Source organism: Homo sapiens, chromosome 7, assembly GCF_000001405.40.
Source record: "Homo sapiens chromosome 7, GRCh38.p14 Primary Assembly".
In the NCBI taxonomy this organism is placed as follows: Eukaryota; Metazoa; Chordata; class Mammalia; order Primates; family Hominidae; genus Homo; species Homo sapiens.
The window spans coordinates 12,812,694-12,829,767 of NC_000007.14; the positions used below are offsets into that span (position 1 = coordinate 12,812,694).

Consider the following 17,074-nt stretch of genomic DNA (forward strand, 5'->3'; position numbering starts at 1 on the left):
TCATTTGGCTATTCCTATCTAGAGCTCAGAATTCAAAAAAGTTTATCTGCCTAAATGGCAATAAGAAACTTTTACGATGAACACTAGTCAGAGAGAAAATAAGTGTTATCATAACAGCATTGAGAAGATATGTTTGCTTAGTTGTTCTCATTTTTTTCTTCTGGTGTTATGATTTAAAGTCTTAAATTCAGGTAAAAAGAAGTAAGCCTTCTTAATATGGAGTTTGAAAATGGCTCAGTTTTGTGCTCACAGAAAGGACAATGAATCTTCTTATGGGACATACATATGTATTAAATGAATTTTAATATTTTTTCTTTCCATATTGAATAAAATTGATAGTGGAAATGGATTAAACTTAAGGTCCCAAATTTTGGCAAAGGAGGATGGTGACATTTACATGGTGCAAAGTTAACTACTGAATGAAACATTAAACACAGCTTAATGTATACAAGTTAAAGGTGGTTAATACAAATCATCAATGGCCAAACCATTGAAAATGACTTCAACAAACCATTTTTGGTAAAGCAATTCCATGTAAATGACTTTACATTTTAATACATTACATTTTGCCCTCACAGTCAATAGAATTTCTTTGAGTATTATGTATTCAAGTCCAATTATCTGCATGGAGTCCAGATGGCTATCCAGAGAACACAAAAGACATTGGGCCAACTTCAATGATCCATCATGGATCAACTTAGGCTTCTCTTGTCTACCATCCAGTCTTAAATAGATATTCTCTCAGTTATTGATGGCAACTACCCCAAAAGGTTTTGGTCCAGTACTTCAATAAACGTGAACAAAACACATCTATCTACCTATCATCTATCTAATCACCTAATTTTTTTATTTTATTTTTTTTTGGTAATGAGTCATGAAGTTTTCATCCTGCATTTACATCCATTATAACTATTGGGAGTGATTTTGCTATGATTTGCTTTCCTCAGCTGTCATGGAGGCAGGACAAGGTGGAGTTGGCAATTATGCTCAAAATACTAGGGGATAGGATGAAATTATGGCAGTGAGTGTGGACTTTAGCATGCTTGCTCTACTTTCTTTCAACATGGGGATTATTTTTAGATATTAAGCGCCCTTTTGCATGATGTTAACTTGTTCATTTAGGAGAAAAAGTATCAGGAAACTCCAGGGGTGGAATTAATCTTGATGAATCAGCGCTACTTATGAGAAGTAGTGAAGCTAAAAACCAGCAAAAAAATAGTTTAGCAAAATGACTTTTGAAATGATTAAAATTAATTATTATAGCCTCTGGCAAGAGTTTAGCTTGAAACCAAGGAGGCTTTCATGTTCTGTCCTTCAGTTCAATTCAGCTTACCAAGTATTTAAATCCAAATTCCCCATTCGATCCTACCTTTCCTTCTCTAGTACTGTCCTATTTTTCCTAGGTTAGCTGCCTGATGCTACCTGGGGACCATTCTCTCCCTGTTCAGCACTGCATGATGTTCTCTAAAAGTCTAAGAACCATTTCAGTGCTACTGCATGTGCTAACCCGTCTTACTTTGGTTGATCTCCAGTTGCTTACACTGATTTTCTTGGTCATGAACTGAATCTCGGGAAAGGTAACTCACAGCCAGGAAAGAGGGCAGGGTGGTGCCATGACAAGCCCTTGGAAGAATTATTTTAGGACAGGTAAGCCAACCTCTTTGCCAATGAGTAATGCCTGCTATATTTAGAGTTAAGTAACACACATCCTTGCTCAGAAATACTTTCTGAGAGCTCCAGTAAAGGGCTTTTAAATAAAATTCCTGAGAAACTTTTACTTTCATTTAAATAAGCCTTTATAAGAGCAGAAGTATTAAGGTTCATGTAAGAACAATACTGCTGCTTCTCGTTGAGAATCTATGACAGACAACGCCTATGCTACCTCTTATTTCCATGCTATTTTCTAATTCTAGGCAACTTTGCAAATCACTGTATTTTCTCCTAAAACACGCCTATATTTACCAATTATGTTAGTGATTAAAGTCTTAGAGGATAGAGTTTTTGAGGGCAGGACAGACTTACCATTGTAGATGTTGGACCAAGGTGTTCTAAAAGGTAATGGTATTTCTAGGTATATACTGGACTAGTTAATAATAGAGTCATCAAACTATAGAACTGGAAGGGAACTGATACATTTAGCTTCCTTATTTTCCAGATACAAAAAATAAGCCCAAGATTTGACCAAGTAACAGAGTAAAGCAAAATGTCAAACTTAGGCTTGTTGACTTGCAGCCCAAGCAAAATGGAAATGGAATGGTAGGTTCTGGGTTTCCCTTTTTCCTCCACATTTTGTGCTGACTCATACACCCACATTTTCTTAGAGAAACCTGTTCCCCCCTCTAGGCTAAGGAGAAGGTGCATGGTGATTGGGAGGGCTGTAAAATTAAGCTCATGGTTTTTCCCTAAGAAGATTTGGGGGAATCTACAGTGGTTGCATGTGAGAAGAGGATTGTTCAGTATAGCAAAATCTAGTGTTCATGGCTTAGATTCCTTTTTAAAAAATACAGTACTAGGGAAAACCTTAGCCATAATTAATTTCACAAGAGGTTTTTTTTTTTTTTTCCTGTTGCCTTTTTTGTTTTGTTTTAAGGCTAATACTGGTTTCACTTAGTATCTCCTATCACTCTAGTAACTAGCCTTTTGTTATAAGGCTAATTCTGGAGTCTTTACAAATCTAATATTTCTCTTAAGAAATTAGGAAATACTGTTATAGTAGAAACATTCTCTTAAATACTCAAGTAGAAAACAATATTTTATTAATTTGGAAAAATGTACACTACTCATGTGACGGGTACAGCAAAATCCTAGACTTCATCACTATACAATTCATCCGTGAAAACAAAAGCCATATGTACCCCTAAAGCTATTGAAATAACAGCATAAAAAAGAAAGTATTTGTGCCTAATTACATATGGAATATATCAACATAGGATCATTTAATCATTGCAAATGAAGCTAAAATTCACTGTGACCACATCCATAATCACTTCTCAGAAACGACAGCTATTATCAGTTTGGTGAGAATTCTTCCAGCACTTTTTGTAGGGTATATACATGCATATTTATATCTGTAAAATACATCAATTTTTTTCTTTGCTTATGTTTTACAATTAAGTTGTAGCACACCGTACATAGTTTTAGGCAGTTTGCTTTTTTCTTTTTTCTTCCAACATATTTCTTAGAGTTTTGTTGTTGTTGTTGTTGGTAATATAGTAGATATACCATGGTTTATTTAGCAATTCCTCTATTTATGAACACTTAGGTTATTTCCAACTCTTAACCATTATTAATATTGTTGCAGTTTACATCCCTATACAGGCCTCTTTGTTTTTATGTGCCAGTGTTACTCTGGGTATATACAGGAAGTTGTCAAGTCATAAACTGAGCACACTTTCTTAGTTTTACAGATACTAAAGATTTTTCCTCCTAGGTGGCTGTATCACAGAGTACATGTGTAAGAATGTCAGTTTTCCCTCATTCTGGGCCATTCTTAGTATTTAAAAAAATTTGTGTTAACAAATTTGTATTGCTTCTGATATAAACAAAATATTTTTACTATCTTACTATTATGCATAAAGTTTACTTCAGGTTTTAATAGAATAGGATATTCCCTATCACTTTTGGTTTGCTGAGACCTTTTTTATTTGAACGAATAGACTTTGAAACTGACTGAATTGTTTTTTTCTGCATCAACTTTGATGGTAAAAATAAATTCTCCTTAAATTTTTAATGTAACACATTATGGCAATAAATTTTCTTATGTGAAATCCTCTTTGCATTTCTTGAACAAACTATAAAGAGTCATAATATATTAATTTGCTATATATTGATATATTCAGTTTTATATACATTTTATTCAAGATTTTTGAATCTGTGTTCATAACATTCTTTATTTTATTTTACTTTACTTTAAGTTCTGGGGTACATGTGCTGAACGTGCAGGTTTGTTACATAGGTATACATGTGCCATGGTGGTTTGCTGTACTCATCAACCCATCATCTAGGTTTTAAGCCCTGCCTGGATTAGGTATTTGTCCTAATGCTCTCCCTCCCCTTGTCCCCCACCCCCTGACAGGCTTCAGTGTGTGATGTCCCCCTCCCTATGTCAATGTATTCTCACTGTTCAACTCCCACTTATGAGTGAGAACATGCGATGTTTGGTTTTCCATAACATTCTTTTCTTGTGTACTGATTATTCCTTGTCTGATTTTTATTTCAGTGTTAGGAAAGACTTCTGCAATGAAATATTGGGTAGCCTTTTCTTTTTATTCTGTAATTTAAAACAATTCCATAATAAAGGATTAATTTGTTTCTTGTAAATTTGGTGAAATTTGAGTAAAACTATGTGGGCATGGTGCTTATAAATCAATATTGCCTACTGAGTCAACTTCCGAAATAGCATAAGACCAATCTGTTTTTCTATTTTTTAAATCAATTTTGTTAATTTAATATTTTCTTAACTAAATTTTAATTTTATCTTATTTCCTTGGCATGAGGTTGTTTATAGCATTCTCGTATGATTTTATGGTGTTACTGCTTTCTCTGTATCTTCAAATGTTATATTTAATATATTTGTGTCCTGTCTGCTAACCTTGTCAGATCTGCCTATTTTGTTCTTCTTTTGAAAATAACAAAATTTATTTTTGTATATTCTTTTTACTGTTTTTGTTTCTTTTTATGTTTTAATAACTTTTCCAAAATCTATTAGTTGCATTTTATTAGGCACACATTTTCCACTCTCTCAGTTTGTTGTCTTTCTCATAGTGTTGGCTTTCCCTGCATGATTGGAAATTATTGGTTGGGGAGTTATCTTCTTCCCTATGATTCACTGTTAGACTGTCTAGTTGTCCCAGCACTATGTAGAGCAGGTACAATTTCCAAGTAGAGGTTGAGACTGAAAACCTGATCTACAATACATAAATTATTACTATTTGTTTTGCAATGCCACCATGGTGACATTTACTTATGTAAATTAGGGAGGTGTGACTCCATTGTAACTTTCTTGCTGTGACATGAAAACTAAATTTACAGAACAGAGACCACTGGTGGTGGAGAGAGTGGGATGGGACAGGGGAAGAGGGAATGGTAGTTTGTGAGAGTCTATAGACTGTTTCTTATAGTCTGTCTGTATCCAAGGCTGATGTGGTCTGTTGCATAAGGAATTACCAAATGTCATTTAGAGGTGAGACTTGAGACTAAGGTGGCTAAACGATCAGGGCAGTAACAATTAAGGAGAAAAAATTTAATTTAAGGAATGATAATAACTGGTGTTAATTTATGGAGTAAACTCTCAGGCAGTCCTGTATCAATGTAAATTGATAAAATCTTTAGGGACAATTTGGTGATTATGTATCAAATCCTTAAATATGTGAAAAGGTCAGGCAATTTATTTTAAGGAAATAACCAGATAAGTGCTCAAAGACGAGTGTCTGAAAATGCTTACGAAAGCTTTAGAACATTAATACAATTTTACTAAATAAAACATTCAATGGCTTATTTTGGTGTATAAATATGTCATTAAATGTTCCACCTTTGTAAATTCACAATTTTGAATTACCATATTACACACTCTGAAAAGCCTTGAAATTAAGACATTTTCACAATTCTTTTAACTTTTTTTGGTGCAGATCACTTGCCTTCTTCCCTCCCCATAATTTGGAACTCCTTGAAAGAATTTTCAGAAGTTTGAAAACAGAGTGTCAAATAATTAGTTTTAGATTCATTCAGTAAAACAATAATCAGTAATTAAGACATATTAACATAGAAAGTATTAGTAATATATTATTAACTACATATATTATGTGTTGTATATTACATATGTATACATATAATATAGTATAAAGCATATGTAGAATGATATCATTTTATAAACTGTATCTCCAAGTGACAAATTCATAAGAACAATCTGGAAGGATATATATTAAAAGGTTAATATGGTAAAGGAATTATGGGTGATTTTATTTTCTTTATTTTTACATTTATAATCTTAATATGTCAGTTGTCCAATGTGCCTGGGCAAACTAATGCAAAATATTAGTTTGTAGTCAGAAGATAACATTTTCACTGAAAGAACTGGAAGTATTGGAAGTATTTTCTTCATGGGCCCCAAATTTCATTATAATGAGAATTTTAAAATATTTTGAATGACAGTAGCATTACTGAAATAAGTGTATAACATATTAAAGTAGATATACTATACTTAAGATAGACTATACTCATGTATATGTAAAATGTTGATTTAAAAAAATCTAAACAAGCGCTATATTAATGTTTTGCTCCAAGCATACTTGAATTACTAACTAATCCCACATTCAAAACTAATGGCAAAAAGAAATTTACAGTATTCAAAAATATACATTACTTTACTTTGGCTGTGGATGAAAAGAAAAAAAAATTCTTCATGCTTAAATAGGTTAAATTGTTCCATTAAAGCAATTAAAATGCCATCATTAGCATTAGTTGTTTCTTTGCGTAGTTGACAAGCCTGGGTGAATTTGGTTTTGTTCAAAGTGCACAGCCACTAGCTCTGAGTGCAATGGAGTATTTTGCAGGCTTCCGCACAATCTTATTCTTTGATTCTATCTTTCTGTTCCATATCCTTCTCTTCCTTTTGTATTCCACAAAGATTATTCCACAAAGGAGTCCTTTGAAGTCAAAGGCAAAATAAGAATTTGGTATACTTTATTTCTCCACATCTGAGTTTTGTTTTCAAGACCTTTTTTCTCTGTCTAGATGAGTTTTGCTAGCAACTGAATGTTTTTTCAAGGCTCAGGTAGATATGTACTCCAGCAAATGGCTATAGGAAAGTAAACTGAAGATGATTCCTAAGCGATTTTCTGTAATGGAAGAATAAAGGGAGGGACAGTCATACATATGGTATTTTCATACACATATGGTATAGTTTTCAAATACGTTTTCTGTAAAATTAACAGAGGAAAGTTACTCAAATTATCATAAACATGTTTGCTGAAAAAAACTTATAGGCCAAGAGAAGGAAATATCCCTAAGGCCATTGACTTTTCGGTAAGATTTTCTTTTGTGCTAAAAATAGAAACTCCTCTTTTTCTTAGCAGATATGAGGCTTAGTAAACTCTTTTACCTTTGTTGAGCACTTATCATTTTGTCTTTCTTCCCAGGTAATTTCATTTTAGTCTATAGAAAGTCATCAAGTGCCTATTAAAAACTATTTTATTATTTGTCTATGTGTAAAATATAGAAGGTTGAGAAATCCTTAATTTTAATATGAAAGACTGTCTGAAATTAATACACATGACAAATAAAGATATATTGGTTATAATTAAGTGAATTGAAATCCCACTTATTTTGTTCTAAGGGTTCTTTTTTTTTCCATATTTTCCTTCTCTCCCTACATTAGGATAAAAAATGCTTTCTTTCAACATTTCTTTGAACATTTTCATTCATGTCCTTAAAGACATTCCTAATGTCTGGTCTAGGTGTATTGCTCTCCCGAACTCTTTGGCCTATTTGAACACTGTGTGTTGGAACAAAAATGCCATTTTGTGTGAGTTTTTTTTTTTTTAAACGATGATGCAGATGGTTTGAGTCGGCAAACACCCATCCATCAAACACCCGAGATTTTCACAAATTGTGTCAAAGCATCCAGCATTGATTTAATCCCCGAACAATTGTTCATTTGCCCCAAGCAGAGTATAGAATAAAAGTATTTATGCAAAATATACAAAACTTGGTATTTGAAATATTTTTTATTTTGCCAAGTATAAGACGGAAAAATTCTCCAGGGGATACACAGTAACTTTCTGGAGACTTGTAAGGTTTCCTTTTGAGTAAGTTTAGATCATTTGTCGTAGTGACACCATTCCTACATAAGAATTCACAGGTAGCTTATATACTCAAACTATACACAATACTCAAAAAATCAAAGGATTCTACATGAGTAAGTTATCAATCGGTACATTCATTACATCATATTAATGTGACATAAATGTTGTTATTGTTGAATATTTATAACTTTCCTGGTTATTTTCTAGAGAATAATTATAAGTAGTTCGTGATTAGCTGTTGTCTATTAGAGGCTACCTTCAAAGTTTATGTAAACTAAAAATAAAATTTAAAGCGCCCCCCTGCAATTATCTGAATGGACCTTTCCTCTCAGCCAGAGTTAACTCCAAAGTTATCCTGAAAAACTGGTTCAGGCCCTGGTTGGGAGTGGGGGTCTGAACATGCCTCATTATGCCCTCTTCCCTTTTGGAATTCAGAAAAAGCCAGCCAGCATTGAACATCAACACAGACCTTAAATCTGATAAGAAACTTTCATAATCTCTTCTCTCTGAAGCCTGCTACCTGGAGGTTTCATCTGCATGATAAAACTGTGGTTTCCACAGCTCCTTATTGTAACTCAAACATTCCATTCTATTGATAATAACTCTTTCAACCAATTGCCAATCAGAAAAATTTAAATCCCTGGAAGTCCCAGTCACCGCCAACTTCCTGCCGCCCTGCCCCACTTCCAATTGTCCTGCTTTTCTAGACCAAACCAATATATATCTTAAATGTATTTGATTGATGTCTCATGTCTCCCTAAAGTGTATAAAACTAGGCTGTGCCCTGACCACCTTGGGCACATGTTCTCAGGGTCTCCTGATGAGGCCTGTGTCATGGGCCATTGGTCACTCATAGTTGGCTCGGAATAAATCTCTTCAAATATTTTACAGAGTTTGACTTTCTTCAATGATAGTTAACAAAGTCTTGGGTAGATCTAACTGTGGCTCTCTAATAAACAAATTCTTACATCCTAAGATTTTTTTTTCTTTGTACTTCATAACAGCTTTGTCCTAGATCCAAGGATGATTTTAACGTAAATGTAACAGACAGAATATTTCTAATGGTATTTGCATGTAGTGTTTAAATGACCCTATATTGATTAATTCAATGAATAAATAAGTAGACATAAAAGGCAATAGCTAGGGAAGTTAAAAAAAAAAAAAACTAGTTCAAAAAAAATCCCTCTAATATATAAGAAATAATTCCAAGGAAATTTGCCTTCAACTAGATTATTTAAAATGCACATAAATTTTGCATTTTTATTACAAAGGTATTCCTAAAGTTTAATCCCCAAATTCAGAAAGCAGCATCCAAGTTCACATTCAATAAAACCTCCAGAGCAGAAGATTAAAAGCACTAATAGAGGACACTTTCACTACAGGGCTAGTACAATCACAAGATAGACTTCAGGACCCAAAGAGCCAGTGGCAGATGTCATGTTAATATTTGACCATCATCAAAGCCCGCATTGTTGTTCTCTCATCTTGGTATTCACATGGCTACATCAGTAGCACGATGTGTTTTTGAGTGCTTTTTTTTTCAGCAACATCTGTGGTGAAGGAAAATGCTATGTCTCCAAATTTGTCTTTGGGATATTGTTGCAGTATTAAATGCAGCAGGGTGTTGTTTTATAATATCAGGAAATGCACTAAGACCTTTTAAAAGAAAAATTAGCATGCCTCAATCAAGGGATGTGACTCCTTCTGTGAAAGTGTTTTATGCTATGTTTTTCTTTCAGTGATGTTATATCTCAGAAGTATTTCCATATTTAAAATATTTTCATGTATCTTTTCTCACTTAAAATATACATGAGAAATAGGTCACATTTTAAAATATGGCAGAAATGCAAAGCCTGTATTTCAAAGCTGAATGAAAGAGTAGAAAAAATATGCATTTATTTTGGTGCCAATATTAAAAATATGGCTATTCATATGCATGAACATTAGCTTTCTTTACATGGTCTTTACATCGAGTAGTTTCCAAAAATACTAGGTGCAAAGAAGGCTAAAAATTGAAATTATGAGTTATCTAATTACTGAAGGCAAAAGCCTTACAGTCGTACTTAAAATGGTTCTGAATTAATATAAACAAAATTTCTTGATGAAGGTAATGTTACTAGTGACCTTGCAGAAATGAAAACAATAATCAGAAACTACTATGAAAACTTCTATGCACACAAATTAAAATACCTAGAAGAGATGGATAAAATCTTAGACACATACACCATTCCAGGACTAAGCCAGGAAGAAATTGATTCCCTGAACAGATCAATAACGAGTTCCAAAACTGAATCAGTAATAAATAACCTAACAATCAAAAAAAACCTGGGACCTGATGGATTCACAGCTGAATTCCACCAGATGTACAAAGAGGCACTGGTACGATTCCTACAAAAACTAGTCAAAAAATTGAGGAGGGACTCCTCCCCAAGTCATTCTATGAGATCAGCATCATCAAAACCTGCCAGAAACAAAATTTTAAAAAAGGAGATTTCAGGCCAATTCCTTAATGAACATCGAAGCAAAAATCCTCAACAAAATATGGAAAACCAAACCCAGCAGTACCTCAAAAAGCTAATCCGTCATGATCAAGTATGCTTCATCCCTGGGATGCAAGGTCAGTTCAACATATGAACATCAATAAATGTGATTCATCACATAAACAGAACTAAAGACAAAAACCACATGACTATCTCAATAGATGCAGAAAAGGTTTTTGACAAAATTCAACACCCTTCATGTTAAAAATTCTCAGTAAACTAGGTATTGAAGGAACATACCTCAAAATAATGAGCCATCTATGACAAATCCACAGCCTATATTATACAGAATGGGCAAAAGCTGAAAGCATTCTTCTTGAAAACGTACACAAGACAAGGATGCTCCCTCTCACCAACTTCTATTCAACAAAGTATTGGAAGTCCTAGCCAGAGCAATCAGGTAAAATAAAAAATTAAAGGGCATTCAAATAGTAAGAGAGGAAGTCAAATGATCTCTGCCTGCAGATGACATAATTCTATATCTGGAATACCCCATAGTGTCGGCCCAAAAGCTCCTCCAGCTGATAAATAACTTCAGCCAAGTTGCAGGATACACAATCAATTTACAAAAATTACTAGCATTCCTGTACACTACCAACAGACAAACCAAGAGCCATATCAGAAAGGCAATCTCATTCACGGTTGCCACAAAAAGAATAAAATACCTAGGAATACAGCTAACTATGGAAATGAAATATTTCTGCAATGAGAGTTACAAAACGTTGCTCAAAAAGAAATCAGAGAAGTCACAAACAAATGGAAAAACATCTCATGCTCATGGACAGGAAGAATCAATATCATTAAAAGAGGTATACTGCCCAAAGCAACTTACAGAATCAATGCTATTCTTATCAAACTACCAATGACATTCTTCACAGAACTAGAAAAAAAAACTATACTAATATTTATATGGAACTAAAAAAGAGCCTGAATAGCCAAGGCCATCTTAAACAAAAAGAGCAAAAAGGCATCACATTACCTGACTTCTAACTATACTACAAGTCTACAGTAACTAAAACAGCATGGTACTGGTACAAAAACAGGCACGTGGACTGATGGAACAGAATAGAGAGCCCAGAAATAAGGCTACATATCTACAACCATCTGATCTTTGACAAAACTGACAAAAACAATCAATAGGGAAAAGATTCTGTATTCAATAAATGGTGCTGGGTTAACTGGCTAGCCATATGCAGCAGATTGAAGCTGGACCCCTACCTTACTCCATACACAAAAATTGACTGAAGACGGACTAAAGATTTAAATATAAAACCCCAAATTATAAAAATTCTGGGAGACTACCTAGGCAATACCATCCTGGACATAGGAACGGGCAAAGATTTCATGACAATGACCCCAAGAGCAATTGCAACAAAAGCAAAAATTGACAAATGTTATCTAATTAAACAAGAGCTTCTGCACAGCAAAAGAAACTATCAACAGAGTAAGCAAACAACCTACAGAATGGGAGTAAATATTTGCAAACTATGCATCTGACATAGGTCTAATATCCAGCATCTATAAGGAACTTAAATTTACAAGAGTAAAACAAACAAACAAACAAAAAAACTCAATTAAAAAGTGAGCAAATAACATGAACAGAAATTTCTCAAAAGAAGACATACATGTGGCAAACAAACATGAAAAAAAGCTCATTTTTCTCAATGATCATTGATCATTAGAGAAATGCAAATCAAAACTACAATGAGATACTATCTCACACCAGTCAGAATGGATGGCTACTATTAAAAAGTCAAAAACTAGCAGATGCTGATGAGGTTGCAGAGAAAAGGGGACACTTATGCACTGTTGTTGGCAGTGTGAATTAGTTTAACCATCTTGGAAAGCAATATGGTGATTCCTCAAAGAGCTAAAAGCAGAACTACCATTCAACCCAGCAATCCCATTACTGGGTATATACCCAGAGGAATATAAATTATTCTGCCATAAAGGCACATGCACGTGAATGTTCATTGCAGCACTATTCTCAATAGTAAAGACATGGAATCAACCTCAATGCCCATCAATGACAGATTAGATGAAGAAAATGTACATATACACCATGGAATACTATGCAGCCAAAAAAAAAGAACAGATCATGTATTCTGTGGGAACATGGATGGAGCTGGAGGCTATTATCCTTAGCAAACTAACACAGGAACAGAAAACCAAATGCCTAATGTTCTCACTTATAAGTAGGAGCTAAATGATAAGAACTTACGAACACAAAGAAGGAAACAGCAGACATTGAGTCTACTAGAGGAGGGAGGGTGGAGGGAGGGAGAGGAGCAGAAAAGATAACTATTGGGATAACTATTAATACTTGTGTGATAAAATAATATGTACAACAAACCCCAATAACACGAGTTTACTTATGTAACAAATCTTCACATGTACCCCCAAATCTAAAATAAAAAAATAACTACAAAGTTTCTTAATTGCAGAAAAAGTTCAACCACAATCTCTGGAAATATTCTCTTTCCTTTTCAAGGTAGCTATTATCTCAAACTTACTTTGTTTCCTTCTATACCTTTTTAGTCTCTGTGTGGTGCTTATTTATGAAATCTCAAAAGCTCTGCAAAAGAGGTCAGCTTGTGATAATTTTTCATTAGGTTAGGTTACTTGTATTTAAATTTTACCTGAAAAGTAGTCTTCTCTGAAACAATAAAGTAAATCTGTTTCAGCATATTAGGCCTTTGACGTAAAAAACTATTTTCTTCAGAAGAAAGAAAAGCCTGATAATTGCAATCACAACAATTTTCTTCTTCCTTAAACAAAACAAAAAAATAGAATGACATTCTATAAATTGTATTGGTTGGTGCAAAAGTAATTGCAGCTTTTGCCATTAAAAGTAATGTAAATTACTTAATTTACATTAAATTAAAGTAATAGACTCTATTTCTAGTGTAAAACTTCTATAAACTTACCATTTAAAAAATTTGAATGCCCCCTCTTCTCACAAAAGATTTGCAGTACAAAGAGGGAATCTGCCATCAAGTGGATCTTAAAAATGCATGTAAAATTTTAAATTCCTATTATCAAGTTATTCCCAAAGTCTGATCTCCAAATTCAGAAAACTCTCAGTTTTGGTTCCAAGTTCACATTTGATATGGTTTGAATTTGTGTCCCTGCCCAAGTCTCATGTCAAATTGTAATCTAATGTTGAGGTTGGGGCCTGGTGGGAGATGATTGCATCATGGTGACAGATTTCCCCCTTTGGGCCTGTTCTCGTGATAGAGTTGTCATGAGATCTGGTTGTCTAAAAGTGTTTGGCACCTTCCCCCTCATCCTCTTCCTCCTGTTCTGTCCATGTAAGATATACCTGTTTCCCCTTTGCTTTCCACTATGATAGTCAGTTTCCTGAGGCCTCCCCAGCCATGCTTCCTGTACAGCCTGTGAAACTATAAGCCAGTTAAATCTCTTTTCTTTATAAATTATCCAGTCTCAGGCATTTCTTTATAGTGGTCCAAGAACAGACTACTACAACATTCAATAAAATCTCCAGCACTGAAGATTAAAAGCATTAATGGAGGACACTTTCAGTACAGGGCCAGTGCAATCACTAGATAGGCTCCAGGACTCAAAGAGTCACTTTGTTATTTGCTTCTGTAATATTGTATAAAATTTTATAAAGTCATTCAGGAGAGAGGCTTTAAAATCATAATGTTTCCTAGAACGCATACTAACGCATGAGCACACTTGATCCTTAGTGATAAATATCTAGGAAAAAAAATTGCTTAAACACTTCTGTAATAAGTCATTTAGGAAGAATTTTGCAACAAAAAAAATTCCGTTTTCCCTGTATCCCCTGTTTTCCAGTATCCCCACTTTTTGCACATCTTCCAGAGGGAGATATCATTAGGTAGTGTTGACAATAAGGTCCAGATACTAAGTCTGATGGAGAGATACAGCAGAGAAGTCAATCATTCAAATGTGGTATTTTAGAAAGCAAAATAAAAACATAGAAATGTTTTATAAGAATATAAAGTGTAGATCTAATATAAATATATAAAGATACAGACACAGTATTGGTCATAAAAATACCATAGAATAGATACTAATGAAATATGCCTTATTCCATACAGAAAAATGTTTTGACACAATAGTTCAAGCTTGAATGGTGTAGCCAATTGGATAATGTGCATAGCCACTGAGAATAATAGAGTTTGGTTGCTTAGCCATTATGATAATATCTTATGTTTAAGTAGTGATTTTGTGGTTTTTCGGTTCTTTCATTTATTTTCTCAATAACATTATAAAATAGTTTTTATTTTCCTTTTGTAAATAGGAAAACAGACTCAGGGAGGTTACGTGTATTCTGTGAGGTTACTCACCAAGTAAATGTCAAGGACGTGCATGAACCCCAGGTTTGTCTATATACGAAACCTTTGCTGTTTCCTCTAAGTGATGCTACCTCAATCTTACAGTAAAATATTAACAGTCACTATTTATGTTTTGGTGATTAAATTATTGGCAGGGATTTGGATTCCTGGGAGGTGTATTTTCAGCCTTGTTATCTTTCTTTTCTCAGCCACAGTCATGTTTAGTTTTGTTTGCTCTTGTAATACTCCATATGTGGCAGTGGTGAATTTTAGTCATGGCTTTACTGCATGCCAGAGTGGAAGGTGGACTAGGAAGTTCATTCAAGGTTTCAGTTCCTGGGTTTAGATAGAGAGGGAAAAATGATCCATGTGACATAGAACTTCAAATCTGTGCTACCATAGCTTATAGTGACTCAGAATCCTAGCCCACTCCCAACCCTTATTCTATGGCTTGGAGGCATTCTATCAGCATTGCTTTTCAATAGTCACTGGGAAAGAATACAACTGGTTCTGCAAGTGGAAGGCTGAGGGTTGAAAGATGAAGACCCTTTATGTGAGAGGCAGCCTAATGCAGCAGTAGGAACTAACTTTGACTCTGGGTTTTACTTCTGGCTCTGCTGCTTTCTAGCTCTGTGACCTTGAAGTTACTTAATGCCTTAGTTTCTCCATCTATAAAATGGGGACGATAATAATAATACCTTCTCAGGCCATTGTCATGAATAGCTGAGCTATTATCTGTAGAGTGCTTACAATGGTGCCTGACACAGCAAGTGCTTCGTAAGTGTTGGTTATCATTTGACATGGAAGAATTTTTTCTGCACTTAACAACAACGTCTGACTCACACTTGTAATACCAGAACTTTGGGGAGCCAAGGTGGGTGGATCACTTGAGGCCAGGAGTTGAAGAACAGCCTGGCAAACATGGTGAAACACTGTCTATTCTAAAAATACAAAAATTAGCCGGATGTGTTGATGCTCACCTGTAATCCCAGCTACTTAGGAGGCTGAGGCGGGAGAATCTCAGAGGTTGCAGTGAGCTGAGATTGCGCCACGGCACTCCAGCCTGGGTGACAGAGCAAGCCTCCATCTCAGAAAAGAAAAATAAAAAATAAAGAAACCACAATGTCATAGCATATCTTTATGATGCCTGAAGACACAATGCTCAAAGGTATAATGAGAGCACACTTATGTTAAATATACTAGATTATTGCCCAGTGGAATAGGATTGTCATGTGTAAATCAGAGCTAAGTGTATGCATACAATCAGTGAGTATACCTAAGGCATATAATTTGCAGGGGCTGAAATAGTGCAGAGGAAGAGTTAGATGAATAGTATACATAATAAGTAGGTTATTAAAAGAAAACCTTTCCAGTTCAATACATCAATCAGCAGGTATTCATTTGTTTTAAGATTTAAATGAAATAATCTATGTGAAGGGGCTGGATCTGTATATAATATAGTTTAGCTCTTTTAAGTGAATTGCTTAATCTCGCATTTGGAGAGTAGGCTCACATAGTTTGTCTTAAAAGTTTATATAGTCACACTGAGCTAAATTATATTTTTTAATTTGTCTTTTAAAAATAAAAAATTAAAAAATTGTTATAAAAGGAATATATAGAAATTTGAAAAATAGAAAAGATTAAAAAGAACTTATCAAAAGCTTTACCTTCTATAGGCAATTACTGTTAATATTTTGATGCCTTTTCTACTTCCATCAAGAGGCTGAGGAGTCTCAAATCTGTGTCTCAGGCTAATACATCGATACAGAGTTTCTGTGTCATATTTCTTGCATCCTGGACTTTTCCATCTGCATGTCTCACAAACACCTCAACCCCTGCTTGCCCAGGACTGAAATCCATGCCATTTCTCCCAAATTGTTCTTCCTTCTTCCACGCCTAATGCTATTTTTCTGCTGTTTCCAAGATAGAAACTTTAGCATCATCCTAGATTTCTTTTTCACTCTTAAGCTACCCCATCACACATTCAATTGTTATAATATATTAGGTCTTGCCAATATCTCTGTAATCTATCTCATAGCTAGTCTGTCATTTCTGCTTCCAATATTTCTTGGTGGGGTTTTCCAGTAATCTTTTACCTAATTTCCCTTCCAATTAATGTACATTGTAACTACTTTAACTGTCTCCATGGGGTTAAGGTTCGCATTTTTTTTTTATGTTTGTAACTGTAATGCATCCCAGTGCCTGACCCATAGTATTATAGATACTAAATGTGCACACACATGCACACACACACACACACTTTGTTTTTAGTTAATAAAATAATGAAATTCCACTCACCATCACCAGCATTACTCTTCAAAATGTGAAACTGATTACATTGCTTCTTGGTTAAAATATTTTGCTGTCTTCCCGTTTGCATTACCAAAGATTTTCCAGAAAAACAGTGACG

The 17,074-nt window shown here is 34.4% G+C and overlaps 1 annotated feature.

The window, feature by feature from the left end:
* Nucleotides 8,031–8,624: an enhancer, noted in NCBI's record as "NANOG hESC enhancer chr7:12860349-12860942 (GRCh37/hg19 assembly coordinates)". NCBI's record gives its function as "activates a minimal SCP1, AML or CMV promoter by ChIP-STARR-seq in primed H9 embryonic stem cells {active_cell/tissue: H9 hESC(primed)}" and the evidence as "EXISTENCE:reporter gene assay evidence [ECO:0000049][PMID:30033119]".